Here is a 26637-nt window from a genome sequence, read left to right on the forward strand (position 1 = left end):
TTCTGAAGCTTTTTGAAGCTCTCTCTTGATCTTGGTTTCCATTAGGCTATGGTCGTCTTTCTCAGTCCTTCTCTTATTGCTAACAACTCCTTTCTTGTCTCTTTTGCTGATGATTCTTCTGCCCTAAGCCCTTTGTGCCTCCCTCACCCTTTCTGGGCAATCTTGTGCCCTCCCTGGAAGTAAACAACTTCCAAATCATCTGCAGCGCTACCTCTCTCCAACTCCAGCTGTGCGCAGAGTTCAACATGTGTTGATCTACTTAGGCTGTAGATTTCAGCTGAGGGATGTTGGGTAAATTAATTTACTTTTGAGTCTCAGTATACCTTTAAAGTGGGATTAATTACATGTGATTCAAGGGATTATTTTGGACACCAAATGGGATAATGTATGTAAACTATGTGGCACATCGTAAGCGCATAATAAATGTTAGTTTCTTAAAAAAAAGCATGATACATCCATCAATCTGAACCCAATTCTTCATACCTATCCTGCATTTTTAAAGTGTGACTTTACTCATACCCTGCCCTCTGCTTAGAATATCCATTTTTCTGTCTTTCAAGGCCAAACTCTGTTGCTGCCTCAACCGTGAAGTCTATTATCAACCCAATTCCAAATCAGCTTTCACACAAATACCTGTACTTCTTTAACTGTGCCACTTATAGTACCTAAATCACTGTCTACCTTGTATTATAATTATTTAAGCACACGGTATCTTTCCTAAAAACTGAAAGTTCCTTTTAGGCCAGGCTCATGGCCTTACAATAGTTGTATTCCCCAGGGGGCCTCACACAGTGCCTGTGTACCATACCAGGGAAGCTCACAAGTCCTGCTGGTAGTGGATGGGCTGCATCACGTCTATATGTGAAGGCTTGCATGTTACTCTCCATTAAATATGCTAACAGAGGGAAGCAGTGATGTGGAGAATCCAAATAACAGGCTGTCTCAACGTTATTGCCGTTGGCTTTGGAAAGCATTTAGGTATTTCTGCTTCAGATTTACCTTGCTGATTATGTTTTATCGGCATACATTAATATGAGCTTGCATTCCATGAGCATACACCACCTGGGAAACTGAAGGTGGTGATCCACGCATAGGCAGAGCAGCGGAAAAAGCTAGTTTAGGGTTTTCAGTTGTCCAGGGATAATTCCCAAAGTGCGTTATTAACTCCAACATAAGTAACAGTGAGTTGGCTGTTGTGCTATTATTTCCCTCTTAGCTTTCTCTGGTTAAAATCCTTTATAATAATTAGTCAAGGGCACACTAATTACCTGACATTGACATAAAATACTTCTGGTGATGGAGCAGAAGCACTGTTTTGAATTCATGCTAGACTATTATGATAATGATACCTTACATTTGTATGATTAGTAATTTATAAAGAGATCTTATGTGTGTTATTTAATTTTGTCTGCTTGACGCTTATGTAAATAGAGTAGATGACATTATCCCATTTGACAGATATGGAAACCAAGGCTCAGGAGTGAAGCGGGTTCCCCAGGCTGTCTTAGCTGGATACAGGCAGAGTCAGGGACCATGCCTTGGGTCTTTTCACTCTTGGGTTCTAGTGCTTTTTCCACTTTACCATACTGCTTTAATGAACCTCCAGCGCTTTAAGATGTTTCTTAATCACTTGTAGAATTTCCAAGTGATTGTTTTTTGTTGTTTTCAATTTCTGGTAAGATTCTTTATTTTCATCTATTTTTTGTATTTTCTTTCCATTTTTTTGGAATACATTTATCACATTTAAAGTCCTTTTCTGTTAACTTGTCTGTTTAGATCACCTGTGAATCTGTTTCTATTGTGTGTTGTTGTTGTTTTTTCCCTCTTAGATTTTGGCCATATGATCCTGTAGTTGGATCTGCCTAATAACTTTTTTATTGAATGCTCGACATTGTATAGGCTGTACCTGCTGTGATCTTCCTCAAGAGGTGTTTTACTCATTGCTAGGCAGAGTAAAACCAATGATCTTAATCCAATTAAAGCCTGAACTGAGTCCCTGCCGGGTTGTGTTTTGGTCAGATTTAGTTTACCTCTGGCTCACTCCTTTCCCAGAGCAGAGCCACCATTAGTTGAGAGCCTCCTGTGTTTACTGGGTCCCCTCCCCAGCAGGTCCTCAATTCTAGTCTTGCTGTTCAGTGCCTCAGAATGGCCAGAAAACACTCTCTGCTTTATAGAGACTTTCGGCTGAGATTTTTTGGCCTTCTCCTCCATTCAGCTTCAGAATTCTGTAAATGACTTAAGGAGAAAATTGGGACCCTATATTTGAGGACCCTCAAGTCCTTAATTTTCTCTCTCTAGTCCCAAGGCTGCCAGAGCTCTGCTGGCTTCTTTGTCCCCCAGCAGCAGTCTTTGCTTCTTGCAAACCTGGGTTCTCAGCCTCTCATCCTGGGCCTAGAAATGACATACCCTCCGGAAGTGATTACAGAATATCAGCTCACCTCTTCACACTTTCCCCCCTCAGTAACTGTATCCTCTCCCATCCTTCTTGCTCCAGCAGGTCAATGGTGCCTTGAAACAGATGATTGTTATATTTCTTCTAGCATTTCTAGTTCTTAGTGGAAGCATTGATTGGCCACAAACTATCCCACCCTACCCCGAAGAGGAAGTCAGATGCTTACTATTAACACATAAAAACCACAGGATTACAAGAGCAGCTCTTAGCTGGGTGTCTTGGTAGCTGGCCCAGCCAACTAGGAGCAAACACTGTTTAAGGCATTCCCTTGAGTGTCTGGGCTGCCTCACCATGAAGAAGGCAGGGAAATGGATGGGAGTGTAACTGTGGGCCCAGGAAGAAGGCATTCACTGGGATGAGGAATGAGTGTTCAGCAAGCCCAGGAGGCCTCGATACTTCATCAGGTTTCTAATGATTTTGTCAGAGTGTTAATCCCATGGGTGAGTAGCAGCATTTTGATACCAGCAAACAGATTGTGTTTCAGCCCAGATAATCCAATATGGAGATCTGCATGAGAGCCGAAAATAATTAATCACATTTTAATGGGGTTGAGAGAGGCTAGTCAAGGATGCTTTACATTGGAAGTAGAGCAATGGGGGTCAGAAAGGGCGTGAGATGTAAGAGAGAGGTTGAACATGGGAGTAGCCCATATATATGCCAGAATGGAGTGTGCTTATGGATGTGGTATGGAAGAAAGAGAGGTTGTATGTGCAGAGAGCATTGTATGGATATTCCCTTCCATCACAGAAACCTTTCTGCACCAGGTCTTGGGAAAACAGAGATAAAGACCAAAGTCCTACCCTTCAGGACTTCACAGTCTGATGGTAGAGGCTGACAAGTAACCAGATGATCAATAACAATAGTCCTAGGTGCTAGGATGGAAGAAGGCCCCTGCTGCATTGGGAGCACCAAGCCCAGTCAGGGCTTGGGTAAGCCACAGGGATGGGTGGAGGGCCTTCCAGGCAGAAGGAACAGGTTGAGGAATAGTGCTGCTACAATATTGAGATAACACGGACATAATTCTATGGAAACCGGAAGTTTCCATTGCCTCTGCCCTTACCCTCGTCGAGCCTTCATAACCTCTTGCCTGGCAAGAGCCTCCTACCTGCCTCCCATCCCTCACTTCTTGAGCCTATTCTAAATGTTGAACCCATGCTTTTCTTCCCAAAATACAGACCTGGCTGTTGTTGACAGCCCAGGAATTTCTTAGGGTTTCTCTTATTTATGAAATACCAACTCCTTAGTGTGCAGTATCCCTTCCATGATCCAGCCATACCCACCCTCCTTTCCTTCATCATCTTCCTCCATTCCCTCCCAACCCTACACTGCACCCCTGTTCTAGAGTTCACTTGGCCACTCAGTATTCCTGTAGACAACCAGCACTTTCTTTGTCCCTTGGCTTTCTTGGTGGTGTTCCTTGTGCCTGAAATGTCCTTTCCTGCCATCTTCACCTGATGAAAAGTCTACCCTTTACCTCAGACCCAGATCACATATCACCTCCTTTCTGGAAACTTCCCTGATCCTCCCAGTCCAAATGAGTCATTTCTCTTCTGAGTTACCTGATAGTTTCCTCCTCTGTTAAAATAAATCACACTCTGCTCATCTCATAGCAGCTTTTGTCTCTGTCTGTTGGTTACTCCCACACCCCCGCCAGGGCAAACTCCTTGAAGGCAGGAGAACACCCTTTCATCTCCATGGTCTCCACCACAGCTCCTTTGGTGCCTTGTGCATTCCTGGTGCTCGATAAATATTTATTGATCGAATGAGTAAATGAGTATCGAATGGGCTTTCCATGTGTTTTGCTCCAGGTGTCTCTTATTGTAATTAAAGTTTTTTTTTCCTTAGTCAATTTCAGGCAAAAAGCAACATAAATTTTATGTGAGGTTTGAGAAGGACTGTAAAAGTGATTTATGGTTGGGTAGGAGATCTGTGCAAACAGGTTAGGAAAATGCTCAGAGTCAGCTTCTACCTGCTCCCCTCGTCACTCCAGACCCTAAATGCTGAAGCATAGCTGCCCTGTCGTCCTGGTGCGTGAGTGGCTTTAGTGTCTGGTGTTGAAGTGCTGAATAAAAAATGCTCACTCCTGAGAGCATGGTAAGATGTTTGTGGGTAGTGTTCACATAGAATGCCCTGCAGCTTGATGTTCGAGAATGATCTTTTGTGTGGGCTTGTGCTTCTAGGCACATCTCTATTGTCCAGCCACATTCTCCCACTGCAATCCTTGGCAAAGCACACATGGGGCTGAAACCTGTGACCCTGCCTCCTGGTTTCACGCTCTCACCAGCTGAGCCCCCACACTGCAGCAAGAACTGGCTGCGCCAATCTCTTTTTATTCTAAGAGTGAAGTCGAGCATGGGCAGCCAGGCAGCTGGAGCCAGGGCCCTACCTGTCATGAATTGGAAGCCGGGTAACAGTAGTTGAACCTGCAGAGTGAGAATACCACCTGAGCAACCAAGATGGGTCCCAGAGGGGCCATTTCTCCCAAATGGGGACAGCAGCCCCGGGACCTGTGGCTTTGCTTTCTGATGACTTTGCACCAACAGCCAGGTGTCTTGTTCCTTACCCTCCTCACCAGCCAATGTTCCTAAGGCCCAGATTTAACTTTCTCTTATTTTAGTTTCAGGCCATTTCTTCTTTTAATGGTGTCCCAAGCTGCCTGAAATAATTCTTGCCCTTCTTTTATGTGGCTCTGTCTCGCATATTTATGGGAAGTTATCACGTCCTTGTAGGCCCTCGTTCTCTAGGTTCCACATATTATGTTCATTTAACCTCCCTTTATAGGTCAAGCCTTCTAATTCCTTTAATCATTTTTATTGCCTTTCTTTGCATTCAGTCTCCCTCCTTGGCTTCTTTTTAGAACAAGAAAGCCAAAATTCCATAATGTGTTTCAAGAATGGTCTGAATAGGGGGGCAGTCAGGGACCCCTGTTCTGGGGAGTGTTTGCTGCTTTCTCTCTGATGACGCTGTTGCATGTTTCTCATTTTATCTCGGCATCTACTGTTTTCAATTCACCTACCCTAAACTTCGCCTTTTCTGGGAATGGTCTTATTCTCACTGTGGCCGACTCCTCAGGCCTGGGATGGAGGCTTGGGAGACATTGAGAGCTCAGAAGCTCAGAAGTTAAGGTTGGGAAGATTCAGGGTGGAAGGAGGAGGGAACCAATAGACACCAGGCCCCTGCGATGTGACCAGCCTTGTGCAAGACACTTCGATGTGTGATTTCAGGGAACTCTCACAGAATCATGTGAGATGTAGATTATTGCCCCATCTTTGCAGTTAAGGAAACTGAGGCTCAGCATTGTTAAATAACTTTCTCAAGACCATATAGCTAATAAATGATAACACCTAGGATTTGGACATGGGCTGTGAGATGACCCCCAAAAGTATTTTTTCCACTCTATGCAGCCTCCTTTAAAGAAAGTAGGAGAGAGGGGTTTGCAGTGGGAGCAATGTAAGAGTAGCATTTAGGTGAGGGAATGTTTTCCTCATCCCCATTGAACCCAGGTCCTGGAGACCAGTGGCTTTCTTCTGGCATGGCCTGAAATTTTAAAACTCACTTGATTTGTTCCAAATGCCTCTCCCTTTATCCTGAACTTTGCTTATTTCCTGCCTTGTATGCAGTGGGGCTCATGTGCCTGCTGATCCCCTGCCAGTGGCCTTAAGGGGAGTATTTAGGAACTGCTGTACTGTTGCCTGTTCCCAAGCTGGATGGGGAGCATTCTCCAGTTTAGAGTATGGGAATTTTCTCCACTGGTGGATGCTGCCCCAGTCCTTTGCTGCGCCTGATTAGGTCTTCGGTGAGCAATACCCTCCTATGATGTGCATGTGGTTGGATTGCACTGAACACAGCCCCTCTATGGGTGATGTCCCTTCCATCTCTCCCTGTGCCCAGCCAGCCAGGGGAGGATGTGATGGCTGCTGGGCCCAACAAGGCAGAGTGGCCAAGTGTCAGTGGTACCTGGCATGACAGTTGTCTTCCATGGCACTTGCTTGGGGGTAGGAAGACATCTGTCTCTGGGGAGGTGACCAGAGCCTGTGATGATCTGGGGCAGGCCCAAGGAAAGCTGGCTCCAACCCTCCAGGGCATACTCAGCACCAGGAAGATTTTTAAGGCTCTGCTTCTCAGAATTAGCCCCACCGGGGCACAGTTACTCGTTTAAAACCTAAACCATTGTCTTTGTGCTGAGTGCTGGGGATACAGAGATGGGTGAGACATGGAGCTTGTGTTCAAGGAGCGAGCAGGCTAGTGGGGGAGGTGGTGCATAAACAGATCTTGACAATTCATGTGACCATGGCGGGGATAGAGATTTGCACTGTGGAGCCCGGGGGTGAGGCACCAAACATCCCAGAACAGGAGCGGTGGAGGCAGAAGTGGTTTTTGAGAGACACGTCCCTGGAGCTGAGTTAAAGCTGGCCGGATGAAGGGGAAGGTTGCTCCGGAGGAGAGTTACAAGGAGGACAGACAGTCGGGAAGACGAGACTGGAGAGGAACCCAAACGATGGAGACCCGGTGTGCCTTAGTAGGAAGCTTGAACTTTGTTTTGGAGAAACAGGCAACTCTTTTTTTTCTGAGACTCAGTCTCGCTCTTGTCACCCAGGCTGGAGGGCAGTGGTATGATCTCAGCTCACTGCAACCTCTGCCTCCTGGGTTCAAGCAATTCTCCTGCCTCGGCCTCCTGAGTAGCTGGGATTACAGGCTCCCACCACCATGCCCAGCTAATTTTTGTATTTTTAGTAGAGATGGGTTTTCACCATGTTGGCCAGGCTGGTCTTGAACTCTGGATCTCAGGTCATCCACCCACCTTGGCCTCCCAAAGTGCTGGGATTACAGGCGTGAGCCACTGTGCCCAGCCCAGACAACTCTTAAAAGAGGGGTTTTACGTAAAGAGGCTGTCTTGGCAATTTACATTTTATGATTTTATTTTATTATTATTATTATTTTTTGAGACAGAGTCTCTCTCTGTTGTCCAGGCTGGAGTGCAGTGGTGCAATCTTGGCTTACTGCAACCCCTGCCTTCCAGGTTCAAGCGACTCTCCTGCCTCAGCCTCCTGAGCAGCTGGGATTATAGGCATGCACCACCATGCCTGGCTAATTTTTATATTTTTAGTAGAGATAGGGTTTCACCATGTTGGCCAGGCTGGTCTTGAACTCCTGACCTCAAGTGATTCGCCTGGCGTGGCCTCCCAAAGTGCTGGGATTGCAGGCATGACCACCGTGCCAGGCTGGCAATTTATATTTTAGATACATCAGCCCAGCAGTAAGATGAAGGAAACAGCTTTAAAGAGAGACCAGTTAAGAGACTGTTGGAGTAGTCTGTCCATCCATCCATCCATCCGTCTATCAGTTAGTCCTTTCAATAAATATTTCTTGGGTACCTAGTATGTGTCAGATACTGGGAAAGTCCTGGGTATAGAGAGGTAGATAAGAAAGACAGTCTCTGCCCACCAAAGGTGACATAGAAAAGGTAAGGAGGCCTGGACCTCTCTTGTAGAGCAGATAGAGAAAGGAAGATAAAGTAAAAAGGCCTTTTGGAAGCCAGTTTATCAGGATTTGGCCATGGATTGGATGTGGGGTAGTGGGCATGAAGGAGGAGGCATAAATAGCTCCCATTTTCCACCTTGGAGGGCTGTAGTGGCTGAGCCGGGAGGGGCTCCTGCCAGCATCTTCAGCCCCTGAGTTAAGCACAGAAGCAGAGGAGAGCGGTGCATTTGCCGTGTAGATGCACCTCTGAGACAAGGGCGTCACCTTTTCTGTCTTAAGACAGAAAATTGTCTTAGCACCATTTTCTGTCAGCCCAATTGCCTTTCATTCCCTCCTGTAGAAATCCAGGAGCTGCCTTGGGTGACTAGGTGGGCCACCAACCAAGGGAGACATTCAGCAGGGGGCAGATGGTGAGCTTGGGTGGACTGCAAGTGCCCATGGCATCTGGACGAGACGTCCAGTAGACAGCTGGATGCATAGGCCTAAAGCATGAGGGAGGGATCTGGGCTGGAGGAATTGCTTTGGCATTGTCAGTGACAGAAAGCACGAGAGCAGATGAAATTATTGAAGGAAGAGTGCAGTAGGGAAAAGAACCCTGGGCTAAATGTCAAGGTACCTTGGTCTGAGTCTTAGATTTGCCATTCATATCCTGCGACCTAAGACAGGCTCTTCCGCCTCTCAGCCTTGGAGGCCCTCATCTGTAGAATGAGATGATCAGAACAGATCAGTGGTCTCCAAACTTAGTTTTTAGTGGTTGAACCTTTTGTTCAAATAAAATCACACACAGAATCCCAACAGCAAAAAGTGAGCTGCTCTAGGAGGAGAATGACAAGAGATTGGAGGTTGAGCTCTGTTTCCCCACCCACCCCCCAACCCAACCTCTCAACATTTCACTGCAGCCACTGAGGGTGCTCTGGGGGGCATAGTTTGGAAACCAGAAATGTGCCAGCTTCCTGAGGTCCCTGCCAGCTAGCGCCTACTTCTAGGAGCCTGGTTAACAGCCCAGCCTTGGGTGCAGGAGGTGAACACTGAGGCTTAGGTCTCCTGGGATGCAGCAGAGCTCCAGGGGGCCTGGGAGAAGAGGCTGTCTGGAGCCCACTTGACCTGCAAGTGCCCGGGTTCATTGTTGTCTTTCAGTGGCCTGATTAATATCTAAGCCCTTTAATTTGCTTCCCTTTATAAAAAGAAGAAGACAGGCAAGCAACACAGGTCATAAAACACTGCAGCCCGTAACACTTCCCATTGGCTCCCGCAGCTTTACTTCCTCCTAGATTATCATTCTTGGCTTCATCACAGGAACCTGATTATTTCCTTTTCCCCTTCAGAGCATTTAGGAAGGTATTAAAAAAAGAATCCCGAGCCTCAGCCTCAGCCAGTCCTGCTGCCTTCTCTCACTCCTTTCAAAGCCCTGTGCTACTTACAATCCACACTCTCAAAGAGGGGGAGCCAGGGATGCCCCCAGCCCTCTCCTCCTGCTGGAGGTCAGGGAGCCTTGGGACCCAGGAGCATGGGGGGTGTTCATTCTCACGAGCTGGGCTGTTTCTTGCTGTGAGTTTGCCAGCTATAGGGCCACCCCAACATGGCTGTGAGTAGGCTGAGGGCCTTCAGCCACCCATGGAGCCCAAGCTCTCTTCCAGCCCATCCTGGCATTGGGCAGCTCTCCCACCCAGGCCCTGGCCCTCCCTCTGGCCCAGGTGGCTGCCATGTCCTACCGTGAAGGGCCTTCTGTGGCTCGCCAAGGGATTGCTTCGAAGACACACATTTCATGCAGGCCCCTGTGAGAAAGACAAACTCTGTTTCCATAGAGGAGTGCCAGAAAGGTTTCTTTGCCCATATCAAGATGTTAGCATTTCAGCGCCAAGGACACTTGAGGCCACGCTTGTCAGAACTTTCATTTATGCAGAAGAAGAAGAAGAGGTCAGCCTGCGGGGTCTGGCCTACCCACTGCCTCCCAGGCCTGGACGGCCGCCACGGGTGGGAGGCAGGGCTGTCTTTGCCTTGTTAGTGAGGCTGAGGTCCTGTTTTGAGCTGCAGCAACAGTAGGCTGACACCCCTATGACCAAGGTGAGATGCAGTGTCATTAGCAGGGCCGCCTGGCTGGATATTGATTGGCCCTGCAGAGGCCTGGCAGGTTGGCAGTTGGAGCCGCCATGCAGATAACTGAGGGCAGCCAAGGACCCAACTGAGTGCAGCCTCTGGAAGGAGCAATTGAAGGGACAAGACCAGAGTGGGCCTGGGTGACCTTGCACCCCTCACACAGAGGCCTGCTCCATGGACCAGTAGGAGGAGGGCCCAGGCTCTCACATGCCTCCTCCCAGGGGCCTCGTGACCTTCTCTTCCTAGGAGAACCCCACTTCCAGGAGCAGGCCCCCAGCTCTCCCTCCTCTAGCAGAGGGATCTGGGCTGCCTGCCTCTGCAAGATGGAGTAGGGACCCTGGGAGTGCCTCTGTCACTTGTCCTATAAATGACAATAGAGCTAACAATATCTAATTGACTATTAAAGGAGAAAGCAGCCCTGTAGATGCTGCAGGCTAATTAACCCTGGGAGTGCAGAGCGAGAGGAAGAATCTGCAGGGGTTGCCCGTGAGCACATATGCACCGAAGTGTGTCTGTCCCAGTGGCAACCAGGGAAGAGATGTGTCCTGTACAGCAGACTTACGCTATCCACAGAGTCCTGTTTGGTGGATTGGGTGGGGCAGGGCCCACCCCAGCTCAAGAGTCCAGACTTGAAAAGAGCCTCAGCCTTTCCGGGAGAGCTTCCTAGGGGAGGTGAAGTCTGAGCTATGTTTTGAGCAAAATGGTTCTAGATAGAGGTGTCAGTGGGGGGGCATGTGGTAGAGGGGGCTGTGAAGCTTAAATCTGGGGGGGCCCAAGGTGAGAGAGCTGGGGTTGAAGAAGGGGACTCAGAGCTCTGAGTTCATCGGTGGCTTCCTTATATTTCCCTTTGGAAGAGAATAGAAGCAGCCAGAATGGCCTTGGGGTTGGGAAAGGGGGACCTGGAGGAAGCTGGTGCCACAGGCCAGGTGAGAGAGGATGAGGGTCTGGCCAAGGCAGCGGCAGCAGGGGTGGACCGGAGGGAGAGGTGGGAGCTGAGGGGGACTCCCTCAACATGGTACCATTGCCAATGGGAGCGCCCCCTAGAGGGCCAGGGCTCTGCTCTTTGCACCCTCCTTGCCAACCAGCTTCCTAACTCTTAGGCTGTCAGAGCCCAGAACAGGTCCAGCCCCTTCATTTTCCAGAAGATAAACTGCGCTATGGGCAAAGATATGACTGTTGTGGGGCAGCCCCATGTCTGGAACCCTGGCAGCCAGCCCTTATTCAGTGTCCTCGTTGCCACACCCCATGACGTTTGTTATGTTTCTTCTTATGAATGGATCTGCCTCTGCCTCCTCAGCTCATCCTTCAACCCGTTCGCTTCCCAGCTCTTTTCCTCTGCCTTCCTGACGGTATCACTCCAGTTCCACCCCAGGCTGCTCCGCCCTGCCTGTGGTTCAACATGAGTTACGCAGTAGGTTCTATTCTTGAAGGAGGGACCATGAGAGAGAGCCTTTGGTTGGCTGTGCTGATTCAGGGGAACAGTGGCAGACAGTCCTCAGCATCAGCTAACCCCAAATCCTGAATGCCCCCTGTGTTGGAAGTGAGTTTGCTAAGTCTGACCTATAAGAGTTTATGGAGCTGGGCGCAGTGGCTCACGCCTGTAATCCCAGCATCTTGGGAGGCTGAGGCAGGAGGATCACCTGAGGTCAGGAGTTCAAGACCAGCCTGGTCAACATGGTGAAACCCCGTCTCTACTCAAATACAAAAATTAGCTGGGTACGGTGGCATGCGCCTGTAATCCTAGCTACTGGGGAGGCTGAGGCAGGAGAATTGCTTGAGCCCGAAAGACAGAAGTTGTGGTGAGCCGAGATTGCACCATTGCACTCCAGTCTGGGCGACAGAGTGAGACTCTGTCTCCAAAAAAAAGAATTTGTATTCCTTTAGCACAGTGGATGGCCAGAGGAAAGGTAGCTTCTGAGGCTCCAAATGAGCTAGCAATGGGCTGCAGAGCTCTGGTGGCTTTTATGAAGGCATGATCCGGGTGTGTTGGCCTCTGCATACTCCTAGGGCGTGATTTATATGGGGACGGTGTGGAGAGTTGGGGCTGTCAAGGCAGGGCTGGTCCTTTCTGGGGAAGGCTGGCAGTGGTGAAGGGAAGCTAGAGTGGCCTCGATGGAGGGTCACAGCTCCTGCACCTGCCGTGCCGTCTTCTCACATCACTGATGCACTGCTCCTTACCTCCTCCTGCTCATAGAAGAGGCCACTATCTCCCCTTTCCCGAGTCTCTGGGGGTGGGGTGGCGTGGTTTGGCCAGAGCTAAGGTGACATCAAGGCAGGGGGGCAGTGTGCCAAGAGGTGTCCCCCCTGGCTTTGTGTGGTGTGGCGTTTCTCCACTCAACCCTGTCCATTTTACAAGTGTTTTGAAAAAACCTACTTTACTCTGTCAAGATGAAACCTAAAGAGAGTATAACGTTTCTACATACATGATTTTTAAAATATTTAATGTCCTAAATATAATATAAAGGATGAATAAAAAGAAAATAACATAATAAAATTAATTTCAATGTTTAAATCCTTGGGCATCACTACACATAACAGGGTGAAATATCCCGAGTTTCCAGAAAGCTCCACAGGGTCCCTGTTAAGAACTAATGGCTTTGCATTAAGAGAAGTTTGGGTCTGTCTTCAGCCACTGCTGGCTGTGTAACCTTGAGCAGGTGAGTTACCCTCTCTGAGCCCTGGGCTCCTCATAGGTAAATTGCACAGAACTATGGCTGCCCCTTGAGTGGATGAGAGGCATTAATGAGATGCAGTATCTTTAAGTTCTTTACACAGGGCACACTTTTCCCCTCCCACTACCATCTCTTAGTAATGTTCACAATACCCTTATGCCTCACCTTTGTTCTGTCCTTCATCTTTGAAAGCGATTTTGCCTCCATCATGCCATCACGGCCTGCTGCCCCTTCCCCCTGGCTCTGTGGCTTCCTGTGCTGCCAGTTTGCAGTGCAGTTCCTGCTGCCTCCCTGCCCTGGAGTTCTGCCCCCATCCTCTTTGCACTCCCAAGTCTCTGACTTTCCTGGGGTTTGTTTGGCTCCACCACCCAGCAGGGAGGCATAACACAGATCTTAGGAGCCCAGTTACCCCCACTCTAAGTGCAAACATTTTTCTCTATTTTTGGTGCATTAGATTAATCAGGAGAAGTGGGCTTTTGGATTTCGTTGGTCCCCTGTGAGGCCTAGCTCCAGGTAAGTGTCCTTCATAAATGTTTCATCACTCTCCCTGCCATAATTGTTAAAATGGGGATAAATTCTATCTGGATTCAGGGATGATCTCCCACCTGTGTCTGTTTGCCCCTGTGGCAGCTCCCCTACACACTGCATCTCTCGTGTCATATTTCCCGTTGCCACTGGATGGTGATAGGGCCAGCTGCTTCAGTTCATCACAGCTGCGTGTGAGCCTCTGGCCCAGGTGGCAAGGCGAGGCCAGCACACTGCCCACCTACCTGCCTTGATCTCTCTTGGTGGCTCGCGGTCCCAGCACTACTCCTCCAAAGCCTGGATCAAATTGTCTGCTTTAAGGAAAGATCAAACTAGCTCCTCCAGGGGTCCTGCTCTTGAGCATGGAGGGCTGGTGGTCACAGCCATGACTGTAACCTGCACAGCCCCATGACAAACCAAGTCTTTAGTTCCATGGCCTGCAGTCTTTAGTTCATTCTACAAATAAATATTTATTTCCTGCTACGGACCAGGTACTGTTCTAGGCACTGAGCATAAATTGGTGAATTGAAATGAATAGGAATCCCTGCTTCATGAGGAATATAAACAGTAAGTCAGGTGTGTGTATGTGTGTGTGTGTGTGTGTGTGTGTGTGTGTGTGTGTGTGTGTACCCATATAGTCTGTGACTGATAAGTATTAAAGAGAAAAATAAAGCAGGAAAGGTGATAGGGAATGTCCAAGGGTGTTAACATTGTAGACAGGGTGGGCATGGAAAACCTCTCTGAGAAAGTGACATGTAAGTAAAGACTTCAAGGAAATGAGAGAAGAGCTGCACACATGTTTGGGGAAGAAGATATTGGAGAGAGGGAACAGCATGTGCAAACGTGCAGGGACCCAGAGGCAGGAATGGGCCTGGCCAGCTCGGGGCATGCCCAGGGGGTCCATGTGGCCAGTTTGTATCAGCAAGGGCCGCAGCAGCAGGAGATAGTCAGAGATGTAGGTGTGAAGGTCAAACCACAGGGGTTCTTTAGGGTAAAATGGGAACCAGGTAGAACGTTTGAGCAAAGTAAGGCCATGATTGGACTTCAAATTTTTTACAGAAATAAACTTTATTGTGTATATTTGGGGTTTACAGCATGTTAGGAGATGCGTAGAGATAGTAAGATGGTTACTACAGTGAAGCAGGTTAACATGCCCATGATCTCATAGTTGGTTTTTTTGTGTGTGACAGGAGCTGCTAAAATCTACTTATTTAACAAAAACTCCTACTATAGTTACGTGCCACATCATGATGTTTCCATCCACAAATGGCCACATATATGACAAAGTTCCTATAAGATTATATTACTACTTTTTTTTTTTTTTTTTTTTTGAGATGGAGTCTCGCCCTGTCGCCCAGGCTGGAGTGGAGTGGCATGATCTTGGCTCATTGCAACCTCCACCTTTGCCTCCTGGGTTCAAGCGATTCTCCTGCCTCAGCCTCCTGAGTAGCTGGGATTACAGGCATGTGCCACCACACCTGGCTAATTTTTGTATTTTTATTTTTTATTATTACTATTTTTTGAGAGAGAGTCTTGCTCTGTTGCCCAGGCTGGGGTGCAGTGGCGTGATCTCGGCTCACTGCAACCTTCACCTCCTGAGTTCAAGCAATTCTCCTGCCTCAGCCTCCTGAGTAGCTGGGATTACAGGTGCGCGCCACCATGTCTGGCTAATTTTTGTATTTTTAGTAGAGACGGGGTTTCACCATGTTAGCTAGACTGGTCTCAAACTCCCGACCTCGTGATCCGCCCACTTTGGCCTCCTAAAGTGTTAGGATTACAGGCGTGAGCCACTGCGCCTGGCCAATTTTTGTATTTTTAGTAGAGACAGGGTTTCACCATGTTGGCCAGGCTGGTGTCGAACTTCTGACCTCAGGGGATCCGTCCGCCTCAGCCTCCCAAAGTGCTTGGGATTACAGATGTGAGCCATCGCAGCCGGCCATATTACTGCATTTTTACTGTACCTTTTCTATATTTTGGTGTGTTTATATACACAGATACTTACCACTGTATTACAGTTGCCTCCAGTATTCAGTACAGTTACATGCTGTGTAGGCTTGTAGCCTAGGAGCAATACGCTGTTTCATGTAGCCTAGGTGTAGGAGGCTATACCATCTAGGTTTGTGTAAGTCACTCTGTGATGTTCACACAATGACTAAATCACCAAACAAAGCATTTCTCAGACCGTATCCCATTGTTAAGCAATACAGAACTGTACAATACGGTTTTATTAACTTTAATCTTCATTTTGTACACTAGATCTCTAAACTTGTTCTTCCTATATCTCTGCTATTTTGTGTCCTTTGACCTGTATCTCTCCAATTCCTACCCCTCTACCATGCCCACTCATAATAACCATTGCTTCCTTCTCTGTGAGTTTGAGCTCCTTTTCTAATATTCCACATTTAAGTGAGATCATGCAATATTTCTCTTTCTGTGTCTAGCTTATTTCACTTGGCATAATTTCCTCTAGGTTCATTCAGGTTGTGGCAAATGGCAGGATCTCCTTTTTAAGGGTGAGTAGTATGCCATTGTGTACACATACCACATCCTCTTTATCCACTCATCCGTTGATAGACACTTAGGTTGTTTCTATATCTTGGCTAATGTGAATAATGCTGGAGTGAACATAGGAGTGTGGATATATTTACAAGGTGATTCCATCTCCTGTGTGTATATACCCAGAAGAGGGATTGCTGCGTCATATGGTAGTTCTATTTTTAATTTCTTTAGGAACCTCCATATTGTTTTCTGACTTAGATTTTAAAGGGATCACTCCAGTTGCTGCATTGAGAATAGGCTGAAGGGAGATCCATTTAGGAGGCTCTTGCAGTAATCCAGGTGAGAGAGGTTGCTGGCTTGTCCAGGATGCAGCAGTAAAGGTGGTAAGAAAGGTTGGAATTCTGGATAGATTTTGAAGGTAAAGCCAACAGAATTTCTTGATGGTCTGGATATGAGATGTGTATGTGTAAGAGAGACAGATCAAGGGTGATTCCAAGCTTTTTTTTTTTTTTTTTTTTTTTGAGATGGAGCTTCACTCTGTTGCCAGGCTGGAGTGCAGTGGTGCGATACCGGCTCACTGCAATCTCTGCCTCCCAGGTTCAAGCAATTGTCTTGCCTCAGCCACCCGAGTAGCTGGGACTACAGGTGCACGCCACCACGCCTGGCTAATTTTTGTATTTTTAGTAGAGATGGGGTTTCACCATGTTGGCCAGGATGGCCTCGATCTCTTCACCTTGTGATCCGCAGGCCTCGGCCTCCCAAAGTGCTGGGATTACAGGCGTGAGCCACTGCGCCTGGCGACTCCAAGGTTTTTACCTTGGTACTTACGAGGGTAGAGTTGGCATTTGCTGCAGTAGGGAAGGAGGTTGGGCTGGTTTAGGGGTAAGAGGTGTCTGAGCCGAATCTTGGTATGCCAAATGTGAGATGCCTGTTAGACAACCTGTGGAGATGCAGGGTGGCAGCTAGAATGTGAGTCTAGAGTTCAAGTGACAGAATTCTACTGGAAACGTAAATTTGGGAGTAATCAATATACAGATTGTACTTAAAGCCACGAGACTGGGTTTGTACAGACAGAGAAGAGGACAAGGACAGAGCTCGGGGGTGCTTTGAACTGAAGAGGTCAGAGGGATGCAGAGGAGCCCATAGAGGAGGATGAGAAGCAGCAACCAAGGGGCAGGAGGAAAGCTGGGTCAGCATGGTCTCCTGGAAGCCAAGGGAAGAAGTGATCAGTGTCACAAACCTCTTGAGAGGCCCAGGGAGACGAGGACTGACAGGTGGGCTCACTGCTCTGGAGATTTTTGTTTCACTTTGTTTTTAATGCTCCACATTAAAACAATATCCCATGGGTCATGGCCTGAGGACGTTTCTATCTGAGTAGAGCTTGAGGCTTCAGCCCTGCAGAAAGCAGGAAGGAAGATGTATTTGTATCGAAAAGAAAAAAGGAAGTTACCAGCACACTTTTAAGTTCACTGTCTTGTTTTATTTCCATAAGTCCTTTTAGGGGAGTATTTGTAGTGCTTTGCCCAATTTAAGATGAAGAAAATGAGGTGCAAAAAAGCAACATAGCTGCCTTTAGTTCAGAGGCTTTGAAATCAGTGTTGGTCAATAGAACTTTCTCGATGATGGCAATGTTCTGTATCTGCTTTGTCCAGCATTGAATCTGTGGGCTACCTGTGGCTACTGAGCACTTGAAATGTGACTTTTTGGCTAGTTTTTAAATTGCATTTGACTTAAATTCATCTAAATTTAAATATAAAGAGCCATCTGTGGCAAGTGGCTACCTTAATGGACAGAACAATTCTAAGTGGTCATATTTACACTAGATTTAAACCTGGGTGTTCTGATCCAAGGCCTGGGGTCTTTCAACCTACCCTCTGCTTCCCAAGAAGGTAGCATAATGTTCTAAAGGGGGCTGGATTGGCTTGAGGTGATGAGTCTTGGAGGGTGGATTTGGAGAAGGAGATAATGTATGTGACCTAGGCGTGGTCTAAAGTTCTAGGGTTTATTAGCCAGTTTACAAGCTCTCTAAAGTCTCCTGAAGCCTGTTTCTTCCACTGTCAGCCCAACCCAGGCTGTAAGGTTGGGCTTACAGGAGTAAGGGTGAGGACCCAGGAGTAAGGGTGAGGACAGGAGGGTATATCTAGTATATGTACCACTTATAAATCCTACCGTCTGTCAATTTCCTTCATGAAACTTCCCCTGTCCACTCAGCCGTATCTCCTGAGCAGCAAATCATTTAAATTCCTTTGAAATACTGTTACTTAAACTTGTTTTTGGACACTTAGATTGTACCTATTATTACCATTACTATTTCGGTTGTGTCTGTGTGCTGCTTTCTGAATCTCTTTATAAACTCCTGGAGGCAGGTGAATTATGTCCTGTTTCCTATACATGGTAGGTACAGGATGGGGTGGTATAAAGAGCACTCGTCTTGATCATCTTTGGTAGCACTAAAGCCAAGAATGATGCTTACAAAATTGTGGGACCTCAACAGATGTCTGTTTAATAACTGAATGGCTAAACTTAGAACCACATAGTTTTAGTTTAGATTTCTGAGTTTCCGTTCACTAGCTTTGTTGCCAAAGGCGAAAAACGAAACTCTTTGAAACCCAATTTGCTCATCTGTCAATTTGTTCATCTATCAAAAGCAGTGTATTTCTTGTGTTCTCGTGAGGGTCAAATGAGATAATAACCATAGAAGTTTTTGCACAGTGCCTGGCACATAGTAGGTGCTTATTTATTAAGTGTTAATGTTTCTTTACTTTTCTTATGATGATATATATGCGGTTTATTCTTCACTAGACTGTGGTCTTATGGCAAATGGGGATTGTATTTTACTCACTGTTGTCCTCCATAGCACTCACACAGTGCCCTGAGCATATTAGGTTCTTAGGAAGAGCTATTGGATTTATTGCTTGCTGGATACCTCTGGTCGCAGCTCAGGAGATGCAGCTGAATGAGACATGACCCAGGGCCAACAGGGAACATTTGGGAGTGCCCAAGCTTAGAGCAGTCACAGCCTCTATCTCAGCTTCGAAGCCTGCACGTAATTTACAGTCTCATTCCTTCTGTTTCTCAAGTGGCCATTTAAATTCTTTAGATTGCAGGGCTGTCATAGATAATTCCTCTACTAGAATGTAAGCTCTGTGAGGATAGACATTTTTGCTTGCTGTTGTGTCTAGAACAGGGCTGGGGCATGGTATGTGGTCGGTAAATGTCAGATGAAGGAATGAACACAGGTGGGGCATGGGAAGCAATATTGTACAACATAACTCTGCAAACTTTTTTTTTTTTTTGTAAAGGACCAAAGAGTAGGTACTTTAGACTTGTATACTATAGTATCTCTGTTGAGATTATTAACCTCTGCCATTCTAGCTCAAATGGAGTCACAAACAACATATAAACAAATGAGCAGGTCTATGTTCCAAAAAATGTACTTTACAAAAACAGGTGGCATGTGGTTTTCCAGTTGTCCCAGAACCATTTGTTGAATAGACTGTTCTTTCCCTAGTGAATAGTCTTAGCACTCTTGCCAAAGATTAATTGGCCATAGATGTTTCAGTTTTTTCTGGACTCTCAATTCTATTCCATTGACTGTATGACTATCCTATGCCAATAACACACTGTTTTGATTACTGTAGCTTTGTAGTTAGTTTTGAAATCAGGTACTGTGAATCCTCCAGTTTTGTTTGTCTTTTTCAATGTTGTTTTGGCTGTTCATAGAGTCCCTTGCAATTGTATATGAGTTTGAGAATCAGCTTTTCCATTTCTTTCTTTTCTTTTTTTTTTTTTTTTGAGATGGAGTTTCACTGTTGTCTTGCAGGCTGGAGTGCAGTGGCACAATCTCGGCTCACTACTGCCTCCTGGGTTCAGGCAGTTTTTCTGCCTCAGCCTCCCAGGTAGCTGGGATTACAGGTGCCTGCCACCTTGCCCAGCTAATTTTTGTATTTTTAGTAGAGACAAGGTTTCACCATGTTGGCCAGGCTGGTCTCGAACTCCTGACCTCAGGTGATTTGCCCACCTTGGACTCCCAAATTGTTGGGATTACAGGTGTGAGCCACTGCACCTCGCCCAGCTTTTCCATTTCTATAAAAAGCCACTAGAATTTTGATAAGGATTGCATGGAATCTGTAGATCGCTTTGGGGAGTATCGCCATCAAAACAATATTAAGTCTTCCAATCCATGAAAACGAAATGTCTTTTCATTTAATTGAGTCGTCTTTAATTTCTTTCAGCAATATTTTGTAGTTCTTAGTGTACAAGTCTTTTACCTCCTTAGTTAAATTTATTCCTAGGTATTTTGTTCTTTTTAACGCTATCGTAAATGGAAATATTTCTTAATTTCTTTTTCAGATTGTCCGTTGCTGGTATCTAGAAACTCAACTGATTTTGGCACATTGATCTCATATCCCGCAAATTTGCAGAATTTGTTTATTAGCTCTAGTAGTGTTCGTGGATTCTCTGGGATTTTCTGGAGGCCCCAGCATCTCAGGCTCCTGTCTGACATTCTCCTTTAGCTCTGGTGAGGCTTCCAGGACATTCCACTCCGGCATATCACCCTAAACACTAGAAGACTGCTTTCCAGCATCGGGCCTGCTCTTGAGCTTTCTAGAGTTCCAGGGACCCTGGACAGCCACCATGACCAAGTCCATTGGATGTCAGCTCAGGAGAGACACAGGAACCTCTTCCTGCCTATTTGCAGGAGTTTGATGGTCTGTCCTGAAGTCCATGGCTCTCCTAGGAAGGGGCTGTGGGTTCTAGGACTGACCCTGATCTCTGCCTGTAATTCTTTCTAACACATTTTTATCACCAACTCCACCCATAGCTGCCCTATGTAGAACAGATTTCTTGTCTTGTCTTTGTTTAGACCCAGTTTCTTCTGGACTCCTGGCTGATCCAGCCTGAGTGCTGTGTGGCCACCTCTTCCATTCCGACTGCGTTGGCATGCCTGGGCTCTGTGAGTGTGAGTGTGCACGTGTGGATGTGGCATGGGGGAGCATGTGTCTGCCCTGTGTCTCTCCCCTCCTGCAGGCCTGGAGTCCTTGCATGGAGCCCAGGGGTGAGTCATGTAGAGAATGGGATGGATGGCTGGACTTCCAGGTGAGGGGCTGTTGGTGGGTGGTATGCTCTGACATTTTAGGGGCACAGGGGACCCCTTAAAGGACTGGGTTGATTTCTGGCCTAGAAAACGTTCGACCTATGGGGATCTTTATCACCTAAGACATATAGGTAGTCTGCTGCATGCAGTATCAAAGCAATATGTGAGGTTGAGAGAAGGGAGCGTATGACCAAGACCAAGCTGTGAGTAGGGATGGCAACTGGTTCTCACCCCCTCTGTAGCTGCTGTCCCAGCAGGCCTCCTAATTTCAGGTCCCTAGTCTGCAGATGCACACTGCTTGGTGGCTGTGTCTCCTGCAAGTACTGTCTTTATTTGTTAGGATCACCATATGAACGGACTGACAGTGCTGACAGTGGTGCCATGGTGCTGTGACCTGATACCATGTCAGGCACCATGAAAAGAGCGAATAGCTACCAATCCTCTCTGACTTGGGCCAAGATTCTGCAGCACCTCAGAGCTCCTGGGACAACCACACAGAGCCTTTTTGTTTTCATCAACATTGAACGACCAGGCTTGAATGAGCTGCCAGGACAGGGCTGCTCAGGAGGATACGGCAGTGTGATGGCCATTTACAGAGGCCTGGAGGCAAGAAGACAGAGAAAGTAATGAGACAAGAACCCTGGGAAGCCATGGAAGGGAGGCTAAGTACATGAGTCAGGACCACACACTGTGGGAGCTGGAGCCATCGATGTATCAGTGTATCACTTCACTGGCTGAGACTCACACTTGTGGCCGCCAGTCTGCCAGGCACAGCCAGTCTGCTGAGGGTGAACCATTGAGGGGAAGGTCTGAGGAAGCACCTGCCAGTGCGGGTAAAATCAATTCTGAACTCTGTCCCCCAGCAGATCCTGCACATTTGTGTGTCTACACATGGATCTATAAATCCATGTGGCTCTGTAACCTCAGAGTTGCCTTTTGATGACTGGCAAGGGTAAAGGGAGTAATCAAGAGGCTGGACTCCCAGGGCCTAACCAAACTGTTTCCAGTTGTCTATTACTCTATAACAAATCATCTGAAAATATAATTTAACACAGCAACAATCATTGATTTAGCTTACAAATCTTTACTTTGGGCAAGGCTCAGTAGGGAAGATTCAAAAGGCTAATCTGTGCTCCATGTAGCATCAGCTGAATGGGCAGCTAGACAGGGAGCTGGAGGACCCAAGATGGCACAGTTACATGGCTGGCAAGTTGGTGCTGGCTACAGGCTGGAGGTGCTGTCAGAACTGAGGGTCAGGGGTCTTTGTTCCTCTCCACATGGACTGCTGCATGTGGGCCCCTCTGCACGCTACTTGAGCTTCCTCACAACATGGTAGCTGAGTTCTAAGACTGAGCAACCCACAAGAACCATGCAGAAGCTGTTTTGCCTTTTTTGGCTGACCTAACGGAAGTCATATAGCATTACTTGCACCATAGTCACAAGCCCACCTAGGTTCAAGAAGGGGGATCATAGATGCCACCTCTTAATGGGAGGAATGCCAGAGACACATCATAAGAATACCTGGGATGGGAGATAGTGTGGTGGGTGGTCATTTTAGGAAAACATAATACCATCTCCATATGAGCCATGGAGAAGGAATGGCCATATTTTGACATTACCACATACTTAGAACCCTGAGGGACTTGTAGAATGGCAATGGGACAAGGATAAGATGCTGAAGAAGTGAATCTTGCCATGGGCACGTGGAAAGATCCTAACTGTAGCGCCTGATGTGTTTCTACCCTGGGTGTGGTGGTGGGGGCAGCAAAGCTTTTGATCTGCTTCCTTGATGTCTGTGAGAGACCATTTGTGAGAAAAATACATCCCCTCCCACCTCTAGCTCAGCTCCACAGAGGTCCCTAATGAATAATCCTCATCAGAGAGAGACCAGAAATAGCCTCCTACTTAACAGCCAGGCAGAGACGGGGCTGAGTGTGGGGCTCGGAGGTGCTAGCCCTGGCAGCTGGCAGGCTGGTCAGTATGGGTATTTTTCCTTTTGCATCTCTGGGCCTTGGAACAGAGCCACATCCAGGGAGATGCCCCCAGCCTGGTGCTCTCTAAGGGAACGTGAACGGGCTCCAGAGGACAGAGGCAGCTGCTGGTTCCAGAAATGAAGCTGCCCGCCTAAAGGTTAATTACCCTCAGTCGGGCTGGGCCAGAACGCAGTTGCCGAGACCTGCTGTCTTCCTGATACTCTGCTCTCAGGCTGCACCAGCTGAAGTCTTTGCTTTGCGCAGGGCCCTGCTGCTGGGAGGCCAGGACTGCTGCACAGAGACACTTCTCTTCTGTCTCCCACCTCTTACCCCCTCCCGTGCTGTTGGAGGTTGGTTTTTGCTTGCAGGACTCCAGCAAGCCGGCTGGCTGCTTTCGATGGGCCAGAGCATAAGCAAAGGCAGGGCAGTAACCTTTACCTGGTCTGGCCTGGAGACATTTATAAAACCCAAGAGCTTGGGGACAAACTGTATGGATGTGAGATGTATAAATAGCCCTCAGGAGAACCTGCCAGGTCAGGAGTCCGGAGTCCTTTCCAAGGCATATTTTTCAAAGGGAGGGCCAAGGATCACCTATTTAAAATCTTACCTGGAGACTCTATTAAAAATGTAGACTTCAGACCTACTAAATCTCAAATGTCTGAATCAGGCAACCCAGTGAGTCACAGGAATTCTAAAGTTTGAGACCCACTTCTTGTCCCTACCCTCATCTAGAATGCTCATTCTAGATCTAGTTTCTACCCCCAATCTCATGGCAGTTCCGCTCACCTCCGTTGAGCACCTGCTCTATGCCGTGTGTTGTGTTACATGTCGGAGACATGAGGATAAATAAGACATGGTACCTGACAGGGAGGGGATGATTGCTTTCAGAAGTCCCTGGACTAAGTTCTGTCATCTGAAAATAGGGGTTCAGTTCCCCAGCCCTTCTCCTTATCTTCTACTGCAGTTTTGGAGTTACTTCCTGAGGGATTCTCTGCAAATGCTGACTAGCTTATAGAAAATAAAAGGTCAGTTTGATAGGAGTACTGGAGAATTGGTGCCATCTGGTTTTGCAATGTGGGATTTTAATAATAACCCTAGTTTACTTTTATATGACACCTCTGACTGTCCCTGCAAATAGACTATTCTATAAGTGTTTGTTGCATACACTGTGTATGCTTTGGACAGCTGTTCACCCAGTTCCCAAAGCCTCTTCCTTTTTGAGGCTCTTTTAGGTTTTCTGATTATACCAAAGAGAGTCCCAGTTTTTCTGAACTAAAAAATCAGAGTAGTGTAGAAGACAGAGTCCTGGACAAGGAATAAAATGGCCGGGATGCTCTCAGCCACCTGTGAGACTCAGAGTGTACTGTTCTGTCTGTATTTTCCCACCTGCCACATTAATACATCACTGTCTGCATCATTGGGATCAAGTAGCTAACGCAGGCGAGGGTGCTTTGGAAACCAAGAAGCAGCCACGCACATACAAAGCATCGTGATTCATAACCAGAATGCTGTACCTTGGTTTCAGAGTGGCTTGTAGGTCCCAGTTGAACAGTAGTCAGCGCGAGACAAGGCAGAAACAAAACGAAATGACTGACACCACGTCAGATCTTAAGTCCTGGATCCACAAATACAGAAGGTTCCCTGTATTCCAATTAATCTTTCTAGTAACTCGGAGAAATAGGTAGGACAGACTTATCTGTACAGTAAGGAGATTGAACTGGATATTTTCTGGGACCTGTTCCATTTTTACAATAGAACAATTCTATAATTTGCCAGATGAGAAAGCTGAGATGAGCTGGGCCGAGTCACCGGGAGGTTAGGAGGTCTGACTGAGACCACATGGCTCCTGCATGGCAGAAGTCAAGATACAGTTCGGACCTCCTGGTGGACCCCAGGGGTGGCTCTTCTGATCGACGGCACTGACTCACTCTGGCCCCTCTGTAACCAAGTGCATATAGGCTCTGAGTCTGGCCTGCTCTGTGGGCATAACGGCCCCCCCATTCCAGCTGTGTGAGGCAGCAGTGGTGCGGGCTCTTTCTTCTGGGCACGTGACTCACAATAGAGAGTCTTTCTTCACAGATTGGAATGCGCCCTGCGGTTTTTCTGTGCAGGGGTCAAAGGCGATCCCTTTCTCCAGGGAAGAAAGCAGACCTCCTCCAGATTCTGTGCCCAGAGGGCCTGGGGCTTGACCTTGAGCCTTGCACATCGCCCTGCTCCTCTCTGAGCTGCTTTGCTACCTCAGGAAAGCAGAGTAAGCTGTTGCTGCATCACCATTTTAAATGTTAATGATTTGTATTATTTTAAAATCTGTTTGTGTGCCTGGAGGCCTCTTTGCCAGAGGCCCAGAAAGTAAGGAAGTGGGTAAATAAATTAACTGGGAGTCTTCAGCTGACTACAAAACTGTCATTCCCAGAAGGCAGTGCAGAACTGGAGCACCAGGCGGCCCGGCCAGCCTCGCTTGCCCCTGTGAGGTGGGGAGGGGGTGTGAGCAGCTGCAGGGCCCTGCTCTCCCATTCCATCTCAGGGTGGGCCATGCAGGGTGGGCCATGCTGAGCTGTAGGAGACAGTGAGCTCCAAGTCAGTGTCTCTGATGAATCCTGCACCACAGCTTGTTATGTCAGGAAAGCGTGCCTTCCTCGAGAGACATCAAATACTAATGGCAGCAGTGGAGGCAGAGGGTAAATGAAAGCGAGTTATAAATGTTCCTTTTAAGGGCAACAGTGGGTGAGAGTAGAATGAGCATTTCAAGAGCAGAGCAAAGGCATTAAACCTTGGGTCTTAACTTTCTCAGTGGGCTCACCAAGGTGGGACGAGATGTTCCTCGCTTCATCTGCTGCCCCAAGTCAGAGACCTCCTGGTGCCCATCACCTGCCTCTGCCACAGCCCAAGGTGTGCAGAGAGAAGCAAATTCATCCTGGCGGGACCCATCCCCCTGGTCTGGGGATCAGTGCTGAGGCACACCCTGGCATGGGTCATGCTTCTCTTCAAGGGGTGTCTCTCAGGATAGCCCAAGTTCAGGAGGACAGGCTCTTTCAGAATCTAAGAGCAGAGACTCCCAAGGCAGAAAGGGGCCTCCAAGATCCTAACCAATCTCTTTTGAATCTGTAGCCACCTGGCAAAACTATACCAAACAGATTGATCCTTAATGTTTTCCAGAAAAGAACTTCCCAAAATGTCCATTGCAGGATGATCCAATAGAAAGAGGGAAGCTAATGTACCCTGAACCTGCAGAAGGCCTTTTGTGGCTGGAGAGGGCTGGAAATTTCTCCCCAGTGCCCTCAGGCCAGGACAGAAAGGCTTTAAAGCTGACGTGTAGCCCAGAGGAGACAGGAGGTGGGTTCTGTACGGGATGAAAAGCTTGGAAGTCCTAGCAACTGAATCCTACCCATTCCGTGGTCTGAGTAGCTTCATTAAGAATCCAATTCATTCATATATCCATGCACTCAGGAAATGATTATTATACACTGCACTGTGCCATGCTCTTTGTGAGGTGCTGTGGATGCAATAATACACAAAGCACACAAGGTCGCTGCTTCACGCAGCTTACACCCAGCAGGGAAATTAAATGGACATGTCAATAAATAGTGACTGTAAAGTAAGGTGAATACTCCACTAGCACACATACAGGGTGCTAAGGGAACCTGGGGTGCAGGGGCACCCAGCCTGCCCTTGGGGGTAGTGGAAGGCTTCTCAGAGGTGATGGAGAAGCCAGGTCCTGATGTCCAGCCATGCGGTGTGCTGGGGCGAGGGTTGGGAAGAGAGGGGGAAACGTGACAGAAAATGAGACCGGACAGGTAGGATTTAAGAGAGGAAAAGAAACCAGGCCTGCTGGCCTAGGAA

The 26637-nt window shown here is 47.5% G+C and overlaps 1 protein-coding gene across 22 annotated transcripts in view, besides 3 other annotated features; it reads left to right on the forward strand.

Moving 5' to 3' along the window:
• The window catches only part of GRIK4 (glutamate ionotropic receptor kainate type subunit 4), a 477159-nt gene that overhangs the window by 173980 nt on the left and 276542 nt on the right, over positions 1–26637 (forward strand). The gene's annotated exons all lie outside the window — the stretch shown is intronic.
• Positions 10029–10528: an enhancer, noted in NCBI's record as "H3K4me1 hESC enhancer chr11:120566465-120566964 (GRCh37/hg19 assembly coordinates)". NCBI's record gives its function as "activates a minimal SCP1, AML or CMV promoter by ChIP-STARR-seq in primed H9 embryonic stem cells {active_cell/tissue: H9 hESC(primed)}" and the evidence as "EXISTENCE:reporter gene assay evidence [ECO:0000049][PMID:30033119]".
• Positions 23986–24075: an enhancer, noted in NCBI's record as "active region_5640". NCBI's record gives its function as "activates an Ori minimal core promoter by ATAC-STARR-seq in GM12878 lymphoblastoid cells {active_cell/tissue: GM12878}" and the evidence as "EXISTENCE:reporter gene assay evidence [ECO:0000049][PMID:35858748]".
• Positions 25021–25762: an enhancer, noted in NCBI's record as "H3K4me1 hESC enhancer chr11:120581457-120582198 (GRCh37/hg19 assembly coordinates)". NCBI's record gives its function as "activates a minimal SCP1, AML or CMV promoter by ChIP-STARR-seq in primed H9 embryonic stem cells {active_cell/tissue: H9 hESC(primed)}" and the evidence as "EXISTENCE:reporter gene assay evidence [ECO:0000049][PMID:30033119]".

Source organism: Homo sapiens, chromosome 11 (genome assembly GCF_000001405.40).
Source record: "Homo sapiens chromosome 11, GRCh38.p14 Primary Assembly".
Classification (NCBI taxonomy): domain Eukaryota; kingdom Metazoa; phylum Chordata; class Mammalia; order Primates; family Hominidae; genus Homo; species Homo sapiens.